The 13914-nt window shown below is 42.3% G+C and overlaps 1 annotated feature.

Moving 5' to 3' along the window:
* Nucleotides 260-460: a silencer, noted in NCBI's record as "peak6032 fragment used in MPRA reporter construct". NCBI's record gives its function as "represses an SCP1 promoter by STARR-seq MPRAs in K562 erythroleukemia cells {active_cell/tissue: K562}" and the evidence as "EXISTENCE:reporter gene assay evidence [ECO:0000049][PMID:32103011]".

The raw sequence follows: 13914 nt of genomic DNA, 5'->3' as shown, positions 1-13914 counted from the left end.
ATACAAAAATTAGCTGAGCGTGGTGGTGTGCACCTACAATCCCAGCCACTTGGGAGGCTAAAACACAAGAATCCCTTGAACCCCAGGGGGCAAAGGTTGCAGTGAGACAAGATGGCGCCACTGCACTCGAGCCTGGGCAACAGAGTGAGACTGTCTCAAAAAAAAAAAAATTACAAAAAGAACATCCAGTAGACTTTCATGTAAGTCCCATTGACCAACACTGTGGAATATGGCCACCCTTGGGCTGTGAAGGAGGTTGGAAAATGTAGTTCTGTGGTTAGCAATATTCCTGCTCTCTCAGAAAGAAAAAAATAAATAAATAAAAGGACAATGAATTGAGGGAAGGCAGCTAGTAGTGTCTGCTCCAGTCTCTAAAAATAGAAAATTTTCAGGCTGGGCACAGTGAGTCACACCTGTAATCCAGTATGTTGGGAGGCTGAGGTGGGAGGATTGCTCAAGCGAGTTTGAGACCATCTTGGGCAACATGGCACTACCTCATCTCTACAAAAAAATTTTTTTTTAAAAATTAGCCGAGGGCGGTGGCATGCGCTTATAGTCCTGGCTACTCAGGAGGCTGAGGTGGGAGGATCACATGCACCCACGAGGTCGAGGTTGCAGTGAGCTGTGTTCATACCACTGTACTCCAGCCTGGGCAACAGAGCAAAACCCTGTCTCAAAACAAACAAACAAACAAAAAATATTTTTTTCATAGAGAAGCGTTGTCACTGTGTTGCCCAGGCCGGTCTGGATCCCAGCACTTTGGGAGGCCACAAGTGATCCTCCCACCTCAGCCTCCCAAAGTTCTGGGATTACAGGGGTGAGCCACCTTGCCTGGCCTTCCAGTCTCTTCTTGTTCATCTTGTGGGGTGGGGTTACCTCATTATTTTCCCAATAGGACACCTAATAATAATGACCACCAGTTAAGTAACTATCATAAACCAGGAAGTTTGTCAAATCCTTGATGTTCATGTTTTTCTTCAGTTCTTACAAGAAGCCTGAGGGTAGATTATTACCACCCTCAGTTTACAGATGGAGGAATGGAGACTGACAAATGTGTCTTGTCCAAGGCTTCACGTAGGCAGTAGGTGACAAAGTCTAATTTTTCTTTTTTTTTTTTTTAGATAGGGTCTTGCTCTGTTGCCTGGGCTGGAGTGCAGTGGCATGATCTCAGCTCACTGCAGCCTTGACCTCCTGGGCTCAAGCAATCCTCCCACCTCAGCCTCCCAAATAGCTGGGATTACAGGTGTGTGCCTCCATGTCTGGCTAATTTTTTTTATTTTTTGTAGGTACATGGGTCTCGCTCTGTTGCCCAGGCTGGTCTTAAACTCCTGACCTCAAACAATCCTCCTCCCTTGACCTTCCAAAGTGTTGGAATCACAGGCATGAGCCACTGCACCCAGCCATAAGGTCTACATTTTAATTCTGATCTCTCTGACCCTAAAATCTAACTTTCTGCTGTAACTCAGTACACATCTTGATTATTGCCTCAGAGGAAGGGCTGGCACTAAGAGATTTTCATGCTGAAGGTTCTTCTTCCAAATCCAGCGTCCTTCGTTATGCTCCTCTGATGCTTTGTCTCATTAGCTTTCTCTACTCACTGATGTGAACAATCTGGTATCCAGGCTCAGCTGGCCGTCTGCTTTATTTATTTATTTATTATTTTTATTTTTGAGATGGAGTCTCACTCTGTCACCCAGACTGGAGTACAGTGGCGTGATCTCAGCTCACTGCAACCTCTGCCTCCTGGGTTCAAGTGATTTTTGAGCCTCAGCCTCCCGGGTAGCTGGGACTACAGACACACACCACCACGCCTGACTAATTTTTGTATTTTTAGTAGGAACAGGGTCTCATCAGCCAGGCTGGTCTCGAACTCCTGACCTCAGGTGATCCACCCGTCTTGGCCTCCCAAAGTGCTGGGATTACAGGCGTGAGCTACTGCGCCCCGCCCATCTGCTTTATTTTGTATTTTGCAAACAGTTTTGTACCAAAAGTCCTTTTCAGTCTACACATACCAACTTTACAATTAATACAATTGTAAGTTTACAGTGCGTACTTAATAAATACTTCTTGAGTGAGTGAGTAAATTACAAAGAAAAATTTTTTTCCCTTAGAAGAAAGAACCCTCTTTGGCTAAGTCAGTATTTCTCAATGTGGTGCTAGACCCTCTGTAATATAATCACTGAAATGCTTGTTAAAAATATAGATCCCAGGCCGGGCGTGGTGGCTCACGCCTGTAATCCTAGCACTTTAGGAGGCCGAGGTGAGCAGATTACCTGAGTTTGGGACTTTGAGACCAGCCTGACCAACACGGAGAAACCCTGTCTCTACTAAAAATACAAAATGAGCCGGGCGTGGTGGTGCATGCCTGTAATCCCAGCTATTCATGAGGCCGAGGCAAGAGAATTGCTTCAACCCGGGAGGCGGAGGTTGCAGTGAGCCGAGATGGTGCCATTGCACTCCAGTCTGGGCAACAAGAGCAACAAAACTCTCTCTCAAAAAAAAAAAAAAAAAAGATAGATAGATAGATGATAGATAGATAGATAGATAGATAGATAGATAGATAGATAGATCTCAGCCCTGCAATCCTAGCACTTTGGGAGGCCAAAGTGAGGCTTAAGCTCAGTAGTTCAAAACCAGCCCGGGGAACATGGTGAAACTCCATCTCTATAAAAAATACAAAAATTAGCCAAGTGTGTTGGTGTACACCTGTGGTCTCAGCTACTTGGGAGCTGAGGTGGGAGGATCACTTGAACCCAGGAGGTTGAGGCTGCAGTGAATCAAGATCACACCACTGCACTCCAGCCTGGGTGACAAAGTGAGACCCTGTCTCAAAAAAATATAAAATATTAAATATGGATCCTTCAGTTAAACCACAGACCTACTAGAATCAGAATGGGGAGGGAGGGTTGGTGTATGGACCAGAAATATGCACTTTTAACAAATGCTTCAAGTAATTATGATGCTTTTTAAAATTTGAGCACCACTGCCCTAAGTATAAGGTAAGACTAATAAATAAGGCTCAGAGGTGGCCAGGTGCAGTGGCTCACGCCTGTAATCCCAGCACTTTGGGAGGCCGAGGCGGGCAGATCACCTGAGGTCGGGAGCTCGAGACCAGCCTGACCAACATGGACAAACCCCGTCTCTACTAAAAATGCAAATTAACTGGGCATGGTGGCACATGCCTGTAATCCCAGCTACTTGGGAGGCTGAGGCAGGAGAATCGCTTGAACCCAGGAGGCAGAGGTTGCGGTGAGCCGAGATCGTGCCATTGCACTCCAGCCTGGGCAACAAGAGCAAAACTCCGTCTCAAAAAGATAAATAAATAAATAAGGCTTAGGAAGGTAGCCACTCAGCAGTTAAGAGGATGGGCACTGGAGCTAGACTTCCTGGATTCATCTAACTAAGGATTTACTAAATGTACAAACTGATCACACTAACCTCCCTGTGCGTCAGTTTTCTCATCTGCAAAATGGGCAAAACAGCATAATTACCTCATATGGTTGTTGTGAACGTTAAGTGAGTCAATGTATGTAAGGTATTTGGAACAGAGCCTGACACAGTGTAAGCTCTATGTATATATTTGTCATTATCAGAATTTTAAGTATCTACTTTCTATCAAAATAGTACATTTCTCAGTCTGGGCATGGTGGCTAACGCCTGTAATCCCAGTACTTTGGGAGGCTAAGGCAGGCGGATCATTTGAAGTCAGGAGTTCAAGACCAGCCTGGCCAACATGGTGAAACCCCATCTCTACTAAAAAATACGAAAATTAGCCGGGCGTGGTGGCAGACACCTGTAATCCCAGCTACTCGGGAGGCTGAGGCAGGAGAATCGCTTGGACCAGGAGGTGGAGGTTGCAGTGAGCAAAGATTGTGCCACCGCACTCCAGCCTGGGCGACAGAGCGAGACTCCATCTCAGAAAAAAAAAATACATTTCTTTATAAAGCCTATTTTACTGTAGAAAACCTAACCTATAGATTTTGTCCTTTCTTCTTTTGTCCTTTTCTGTTTTAGAGAAGTGGACACTTCAAACCAGAATATTTCCTTATTGTGGGGTCAAACTGCACAAAGAAAGCTAAGATGATTACCATATGCTGATGAGCCAGAGGATCAGAGGTCAATCTTTGTACCGCTTCCCCATAATTAAGATCACATAAAAAGGGCAGGGATTCAAAATGAGCCTAATATGTTTTCTCACTTACCAGAAAGTGTTGGGGTAGTTACAAAGGATAACAAAACACAAAGCCTATTGTAGCAACAATCCTTTGGCCAAGTCATCTCCTGTCCCAAGTCTCTGTGGAGACTCTGTTGACTCCAGGGCCTCTTCTTCCTTCCTACTCCTGTCTCCAGGAGGTTTGTGAGCCTTTGATAGATGGAAAACATTCCCAAGAGCAAACTAGAAGGTTTAGCACTTCCATTCCCCATGCCTTATAGAATGAGATGAGCTTTGGCAACTGATCACTCGAGGATGATCCTTGAGAGCAGGTGTGCCTCGGAAGTTTAAGACGGTTTTTCTACAATGGGCTTCTTCTTGGTGTATGAATCCAGACTGGATATGATTAATTGACTCTTTTATCTTTTTTTTTTTTAACTTGTCACTGACTTGTAGCTAATAATTGACTCTTTTAAAATTAGGCTTTCCTTTTATCACGTGACTTCTTCAAAGTTACTTAAAATTAGAATTTCTATTTCCCTATTTGTAAAAAGGAACTTGTAATAGAATGTTAGTGCTAAAGGGAATTTCTAAGACAACTTAATATGACTCCTTGCATTTTATAGAGGCTAGATTCAGAGAGGTTGAGGGACTTATTCAAGGTCCAAAGAGCTTGTAAGTAGTAGGGCCAGGAATAAAACTTGAGGATTTAGTTAATTTTGCAGTTGACATAATTGAAGCTGAAATTGGAGAATTACTGAAATTTTTGCTTGAAGGCCAAAAATTTAAGTGCCATTGATATTCTATTTTGGTATTAATTATTTCTCTGACAATCTAGCTAGTGAATAAAAAACACAAAGTGGTCAGGCACAGTGGCTCATGCCTGTAATCCCAGCACTTTGAGAGGCTGAGGCAGGTGGATAGCTTGAGCTCAGGAGTTTGAGACTAACCTGGGCAACATGGTGAAACCCCATCTTTTCTTTTTTTTGAGATGGAGTCTTGCTCTTTCGCCCAGGCCAGAGTGCAGTGGCACTATCTCGGCTCACTGCAAGCTCCGCCTCCCCGGCTCACACCATTCTCCTGCCTCAGCCTCCCGAGTAGCCAGGACTACAGGAGCCCGCCACCGCGCCTGGCTAATTTTTTGTATTTTTAGTAGAGACGGGGTTTCACCGTGTTAGCCAGGGTGGTCTCAATTTCCTGACCTCATGATCCGCCTGCTTCGGCCTCCCAAAGTGCTGGGATTACAGGTGTGAGCCACCGCGCCTGGCCTGGTGAAACCCCATCTTTACCAAAAATACAAAAAATTAGCTGGACATGGTGGCATAGGCCTGTGGTCCCAGCTACTTGGGAGGCTGAGGTGGGAGGATTGTTTGAGCCTGGAAGGCAGAGGCTGCAGTGAGCCAAGATCACAACACTGCACTCCAGCCTGGGTGACAGATCCAGACCCTGTCTCAAACAAAACAAAACAAAACAAAACACAAAAACTCCACAAAGTATAATTCTCTAGTGTTTTATCTAATGAAACTACAATAGAAGCTTTGCTGTTAAACATAAGATATAAAGTGCCTGTGAATACATATTTTTCTTTTTGTTCTTTTTTTCATACATATTCTGCTTATGTAATATTTTTCATAATTACTTTGGATCATAATAATTTTTTTGAGATTAAGTCTTACTATTTGGCCTAGGCTAGCCTCAAACTCTTAGGCTGAAGCGATCCTCCCTCAGCCTCCTGAGTATCTAGGACTGCAGGTGGGCACAGCAGGCCGTCAGGATCATAATAGTTTTAGTTGATGTTTTAATGAATCTTGATTCTTTTTTAAAATAATGACATGGTATATGAATTATCTATCAATTTAAAAATAATTCTAATTTTCTGTCACTCATTAAATATATAATCCACTTGCATGAACCTTCATTCTAAGTTAAATATAATTTCAGATATACAGAAACATTGCAGGAACAGTACAATGAATTTCCAGATAGCCTTCACGTTATAACATTATATACATTTCTTTATAAAGCCTAATTGTAGAAAACCTAACCTATAGATTTTACATAGGTTAGACTATACATATATATGTCTTTTTTTTCCTGAGCAATTTAAGAGTAAGTTGCAGACATAATGCCCTTCTAACCTTAATTCTTAACTGGAAAAAATATACCACACCCAATTAACTATACAGTAATCTAAGTATCAGTCTTTTCAGCAACACCCAATTAGATAATAATCATTGTTGATAGCATCATTTTCAAATTGTAGCATCTTCTAACTTGAACAATGGTAGGTAAAGTCTAGCTATAGGAGTAACTGATATAGTCAGCCGGGCAGCGCAGTGGTTCACGCCTGTAATCCCAGCACTTTGGGAGGCTGAGGCGGGCGGATCACGAGGTCAGGAGTTCGAGACCATCCTGGCCAACATGGTGAAACCCCATCTCCACTAAAGATACAAAAAATTAGCCAGGCATGGTGACGTGTGCCTGTAATCCCAGCTACTAAGGCAGGAGAATCGCTTGAACCCGGGAGGCGGAGGTTGCAGTGAGCCGAGATCGCGCCACTGCACACCAGCCTGGGCTATAGGGTGAGACTCCATCTCAGAAACAAAAACAAAAAACACACACAAAAAAACAAAAAGTAATTGATATACTCTTTTAGCTCAATAAATACTAAAGAGTAAGTGTTTTAGCTGGGCACAGTGGACATGCCTGTAATCCCAACTATTCAGAAGTTCGAGGTAAGAGGATTGCTTGAGCCCAGGAGTTTGAGACCATCCTGGGCAACATTGCGAGACCTCTGTCTCTACCAAAAAAATTTTTTTTAATTAGGTGTGCATGGTGGTGCACGCTTGTGGTCCCAGCCACTTGGGAGGCTAAGGCAAGAGGATCGCTTGAACCCAGGAGGTTGAGGCTGCAACTACACTCCAGTTTGGGTAACAGAGTAAGATCCTCTGTCTAAAAAAAAGGGACGTCTTTACTATGAGCAGTGAACACCACTCCTTCATGTTCTGTTTTTCAGTTTATATTTGTTTTCTCAGGTGTTACACAGCTGTTTTTATTTTTTTTAAAAGGAAGGAGGTGCTTGCTTCAGTAACACAGTATCCTATAGTAATTCATCCATAATTTTCTATATAGAAGTCACTGTCAACTTGGGAGCACAAACAGGCATCATTGGTGGCTTTTCATAAGCCTCTGATAACTTTGTGTTGTTTTCTTTTGTGATTTTTGTTTGTTTGTTTGTTTTTGTTTTTGAGATGAGTCTCACTCTTGTTGCCCAGGCTGGAGTGCAGTGGTACGATCTCGGCTCACTGCAACATCCACCTCCTGGGTTCAAATGATTCTCCTGCCTCAGCCTCCCGAGTAGCTGGGATTACAGGCGTTTGCTACCATGCCCAGCTAATTTTTGTATTTTTTTTTTTACAAGAGTTGGGGTTTCACCATGTTAGCCAGGCTGGTTTCAAACTCCTGACCTCAAGTGATCTGCCTGCCTCAGCCTCCCAAAGTGCTGGCATTACAGGCATGAGCCACCACGCCCGGCCAGCCCCTGATAACTTTGGATACACTTTAGGAAGAAGACATTTTTTTTTAACCTGCATTTCAGTAAACTAACAGGATCTATTTGTCTTTCATGAACCTTTTGTTCCATGAAACACTGCCCACTATCTGATAAGCAATATGAGAGTACAGACCAGTCTTCTTATTGTGTCCTTTGATGTCAAGCATAAGACAATACACATTGCAGGAGTTAGATATTTGATGAGTTGGAGCAAAATCCAGTTTGCAGATAAAGATTCAAAATAGGGGCAAAAAAGAATTAACTGGGCGGGGAAAAGCAACTTCAGTTCTTCTAATATTCCTACCATTAAAACCACATATATTTCTATTCAGAAGCATATTACCAAATCCAGTGGGGTATTATTTAAAGTTGAAACTTGGAAAAAATAAAATATACAAAGAAAAAGTAATTTTATATTTCTTACATATTGTTGTGTTTGATAGTATTGACGTTCTCCTGGGAGAAATAACAAAGGTTCTTTTTTAACTGGCATGAAAAGAAAGTTTTGTCTGGGTGCGGTGGCTCATGCTTGTAATCCCAGCTCTTTGGGAGGCTGAGGAGGGTGGATCATGAGGTCAGGAGATCAAGACCAGCCTGGCCAACATGGTAAAACCCTGTCTCTACTAAAAATACAAAAATTAGCCGAGTGTGGTGGTGCATGCCTGTAATCCTATCTACTTAGGAGGCTGAGGCAGGAGAATTGCTTGAACACGGGAGGAGTAGGTTGCAGTGAGCCGAGATCTCACCACTGCACTCCAGCCTGGCAACAGAGCAAGACTCTGTCTTAAAAAAAAGAAAAGAAAGAAAGACAGTTTTATACTACTAATGGGGATGTGGAGATGGGCAGCAGAAATTTCATAGAGTACTTAGTTATGTCAGCATTAACTTTCTGTCATAGATGTTACATCCTGGATTAGTCATGAAACAGGAAGTTTAAGAAATGTCTAAAATGACAAGTTGTAATATAAAAGTAACAAATGCCTCTCTCACTTTTTTTGTTTTTGTTTTTCTTTTTTTTTTTTTTTTGAGACAGAGTCTCACTCTGTTGCTCATGCTGGAGTGCAGTGGTGAGATCTCAGCTCACTGCAACCTCCACCTCCTGGGTTCAAGCGATTCTCCTTCTTCAGCCTCCCAAGTAGTTGGGATTACAGGCACTCGTCACCATGCCCAGCTAATTTTTGTAATTTTAGTGGAGGCAGTGTTTCACCATGTTGGCCAGGCTGGTCTCAAACTCCTGGCCTCAAGCAATCCTCCCAGCTCAGCCTTCCAAAGTGCCAAAATTACAGGCATGAGCCATCACGTCTGGCCTATAGGTACCTTTCTTATTAAAGAAATGAATGAAAGAAAAAAAGCCTTATGACCTTAAGCAAGTTCCTTAACAGACCTCAGCTGCCCATTTATAAAATGAGAAAATTGGATTGGATAATACTAAGGTCCTTTCCACACATCATAATGTTTTTTCAGAAACAAAAAGGTCTCATGTGACAGGAACTGACCAAAACAAGCTACAGACCAGGCGTGGTGGGTCACGCCTGTAATCCCAGCACTTTGGGAGACGAAGGTGCCTTTGCAGATAGTGGATACTCAATCAAACCCCATCTCTACTAAATACAAAAAATTAGCTGGGCTTGGTGGCGCATGCCTGTAATCCCAGCTACTCAGGAGGTTGAGGCAGGAGAATTGCTTGAACGCAGGAGGCGGAGGTTGCAGTGAGCCGAGATTGCGCCATTGCACTCCAGCCTGGGCAACAGGAGTGAAACTCCGTCTCAAACAACAACTACAACAACAACAACAACTAGCTACAATGAAAATAATGATAAGGATGGGTAGAATAAAATATAGCATAATTCATTCAGTAATGCAAAGCACAGGCACTCAGTTATTCACCTGCTGTCTCCACAATTATCACATTTGTCAGAATTTGCCGTTAAAGGGATTTGTTGTGTTCTAGACTACACAACACTGTGGCAGTCAGGAAACCTTTATGCTACTCTTGGGGTTCCAGATCTCTGAGCTTCCTTCATTCTGCAAGTTACTAGTCAGCTATTTACATGTTGTATTCTTTACTATATTATAATCTCTAGGAGGGCAGGGATCACATCCTATGCATGTCTATACCCCATTCTACCTTGTCTAATACTTTGCAGATAGTGGGTACTCAATAAATGTCATTTGATGATCTCTTTGTCTAGTAAATAAATGTGAAACGTGGTTTTTAAATGGCATTTCACATTAAATAATATAACACTTATATAATGTCCATCACCTAAAATATTTGCTTTTCCTCATGCTCATTAAATATTTGATCTTTCTTCAGGGGTCAGATGAGGTTCATCCTTCTCTATGAAGTACTAATTGGTTGTTACAGCACTTAATTATGGCGTTTTCTTATTTATTGTACCATTCAGGTGGCTAAGTATTTTGGGTGGGGTCTCTATCACCACACTAGATTTTTATTTATTTACTTATTATTTATTTATCAGAGACAGTGTCTCCCTATGTTGCCCAGGCTGGACTAGAACTCCTGGGCTCAAGCGATCCTCCCACCTCAGCACGTTAGATTTTTAGTTCAGCACAGGAAGAAGCATGTAATTTCTCCTTTATCCTGTAAGCATGGTGCCTTCATAACAAAGTTGCTAAATAAATATTTGATGATGATCCTGATGATCAATAATAAGTGATTTACTGTTAAAGGTTTACTAGTTGCTTATATCAACCCCCCAAAATACTTCAGATACAAATTTTCTAAAAGGAACGCACTTTGGGAGTGACAGCTTTGCTCTCACCTAGGTACAGGCTCCCGCAGCCTGTCTCAGACCATACCCAGGCGCAGCCTTTTCTGTATTTTATTGTCTTCATTTTCCTGGAAGCCAGGGGATTTGGAGGATGATCAAATGGAAAGAAGGAATGAAGGGAAGGAGGGAGGGAAGGAGGAAATGAAAATATATTTGTGTACATTGTGAATATAATGTACAAGATGTAACAAAAGAATAGACAGGCAGATTTTGAAGACATTATAATCTACTGGAATAATCTGGATACACACAATTGAAAATATATCAAAGTATATAAATAGTGAAACCCCATCTCTACTACAAATACAAAAATTAGCTGGGCATGGTGGTGGGCACCTGTAGTCCTAGCTACTCAGGAGGCTGAGGCAGGAGAATAGCTTGGAGGCAGGAGAATAACTTGAAGTCGGGAGGCAGAGGTTGTGGTGAGCTGAGATCATGCCATTGCACTCTAGCCTGGGCAACAATAGCGAAACGCCATCTCAAAAAAAAAAAAAAAAGAAAGAAAGAAAGAAAAAAGAAAAAAACTGGTTGAGTAAGTAGGAGGAGGGGCTAAATTGATAAGGAGATTTAGGGCTCAGTGTAAATAATTTACAGTTTCTATGAGGAGCTGCTAAAAGCAATTCAAGGTTTATGAAAAAGGGCTTCATATTCAAACAGTGTTTGAGGAAGATTATTCTTGCCATAGTAATGACATTTATTGAACATTTCTTATATGTCTTATATGTAAGTGCTTTACATATTAGCCCATTTAATCTTACAACTACCCCATGAGGAAGACACTGTCATCTCTGTTGTGCAGGCAAGGAAACTGAGGCACAGATCCTGGGTAACTTGCTTCCTCAAGGCCCCATTGCTTCTAAATAGCAGACCTGGAATATGAACTCAGGCTGTCTGAGTCTAAACCTGGTGTCTCTTCTAACCATCTCGTGACATGGCTTCTCTTTCCATAGAGCTATGTATCTATGTGGGAGACAGATAGGAGATTCATCAGGAGGTAGCAGTGGTCTAAGGCATGTAGTGATTAGACTGAGTGGGACTGTGATCACAGAAAAAGCAAGGAAGGGATGAAGCTGAGAAAATTCACATGAGAGAATTAGACTTGCTAGGTATATTTGGAAATGGAGGTAAGGGATAGGGAGATAAGGATATTATTTCATTCCAAAAAGATTTATTATTTTTTTTTATGACAGGGTCTTGCTCTGTCACCTAGGCTGGAGTTCAGTGGCGTGATCACAGCTCACTGCAGCCTCGAACTCCTGGACTCAAGCAATCCTCCTTCCTCAGCCTCCCAAGTAGCTGGGAAGACAGGTGCCCACCACATCTGGCTATTATTTTTATTTTTTGCAGAGATGGGATCTATGTTGCCCAGGCTGGCCTCCAACTCCTGGACTCGAGCAATCCGCCCACCTCAGCCTCCCAAACTGCTGGAATTACAGGCGAGAGCCACTGCTCCCAGCCCCCCAAAAGATTAATGAATATTTACTATGTGCCAGGAACTGTGTTAGGTACTGTATTCGGTTAAGAAACAGTGAACCAGATAGACAGAGTCCCTGCATTTATGGAGCAAGATTGTGTTATTAGTGGAAAACAGGCTCTATATGCATAGAAAACACAACAAACTGGAAACACTGGTTGTTTAGGAGAACTAGATGGAAGCAGAAACGTAGAAGAGAAACCTGTTGAACTTTACAGTTCTATTAGAATTTGTCTAAAGGTTTTCCCCTCCTAGGCACGGAGGGAACAAAGGAAACATTGAATTTTAACACATGAATATGTTAACTATTTTAAAAATAGGGCTTTTTAAATATAATCAGATCTCATGATGTAAAAAATGTGTAGTTTTTTGTTTGTTTTTTGAGACAGTCTCACTCTGTTACCCAGGCTGGAGTGCAATGGCGTGATCTTGGCTCACTGCAACCTCTGCCTCCCAGGTTCAAGGGATTCTCATGCCTCAGCCTCCCGAGTAGCTGGGATTACAGGCATGCACCACCACACTCAGCTAATTTTGATATTTTTAGTAGAAACGGGATTTCTTCATGTTGGCCAGGCTGGTCTTTAACTCCTGGGCTCAGGTGATTTGCCCCCACCAGCCTCCCAAAGTGCTGGGATTACAAGCATGAGCCACCATGCCTGGCCTATAGTTTTTTGTTTTTTAAAAAAACTGAGATACTGCCAGGTGAGGTGGCTCACGCCTGTAATCCCAGAACTTTGGGAGGCCGAGGCAGGTGGATCATGAGGTCAGGAGTTTGAGACCAGCCTGACCAACATGGAGAAACCTCATCTCTACTAAAAATACAAAAATTAGCTGGGCGTGGTGGTGTGTGCCTATAATCCCAGCTACTCTGGAGGCTGAGGCAGGAGAATCGCTGGAACCCAGGAGGCAGAGGTTACAGTGAGCTGATACTGCGCTATTGCACTCCAGCCTGGGCAACAAGAGTGAAACTCCGTCTCAAAAAAAAAAAAACCAACCGAGATACTAAGACTACGTGCTGTGTACACACACACACACACACACACACACACGCCTGTATACGCGCAGACTTTCTGACAATTCATACAAGAAACTGGCAAAACTGGACCCCTTGGGGAAGGGAATTGGGTGGAAATAGAGGTGAGAGACTTTACCCTTTTGTACCATTTGTGTTTTTATGAATTCAATTATTGAATATACTTTGTACAAGTATTTACTTAATAAAAGCAAATGAGTTTTAAAAATAGCAATCAGAAACCTAGGAATTAATAGAGGTTTTATGGAGAAAGAATCCCACAAGTTTGAAATATTTTACATACCAGCGTGCTTTTCTTTAAGTTTTAACTTTTACCAAAATTAGCAAAGAAAAAGTATATGTGTGTGCATGCGCAGTAGAAGGAAACCAATTAAAACTTTGGTGTTTGTGGAAATAAGAGAATTAAAATATTTTGGCATTTGGTGAATGTGGGAAAAACTCCTCGGCTATCAAAATTCTCTAAATAAGTTTTCAAAAAATGCCTAAGGCAGTTTCACTTCTTACAATAGACACTCTATTGAAACAGGTTCAGGTGGTGGCCAACCTCCACCCATAGGTTGCAGGGTTTTTGTGATTTCTTGTAGAACTAACTAATCCTGACATGACAGTTTGTACTGTGTTTTAAATCGGAATTGATCCCCTCGGTTCCAAACAAAATTTGGATGATGAAACCTATTATTCTTTTGCAGAGTGAGGGCCAATTTGGTTGAACCACGATTAGAAAATTTAGTTGTATTTCTGGAGATATTTTAACTTTCAGGATTTTTTTTTTGAGACAGAGTCTCTGTTGCCTAGGCTGGAGTGCAGTGGCGCAGTCTCAGCTCACTGCAACCTCTGTCACCCGGGTTCAAGCGATTCTCCTGCCTCAGCCTCCCGAGTAGCTGGGATTACAGGCACCTGCCACCA

The sequence above is a fragment of the Homo sapiens genome, chromosome 6 (assembly GCF_000001405.40).
Source record: "Homo sapiens chromosome 6, GRCh38.p14 Primary Assembly".
NCBI lineage: Eukaryota > Metazoa > Chordata > Mammalia > Primates > Hominidae > Homo > Homo sapiens.
This window is presented reverse-complemented; position numbering and strand designations above follow the sequence as displayed.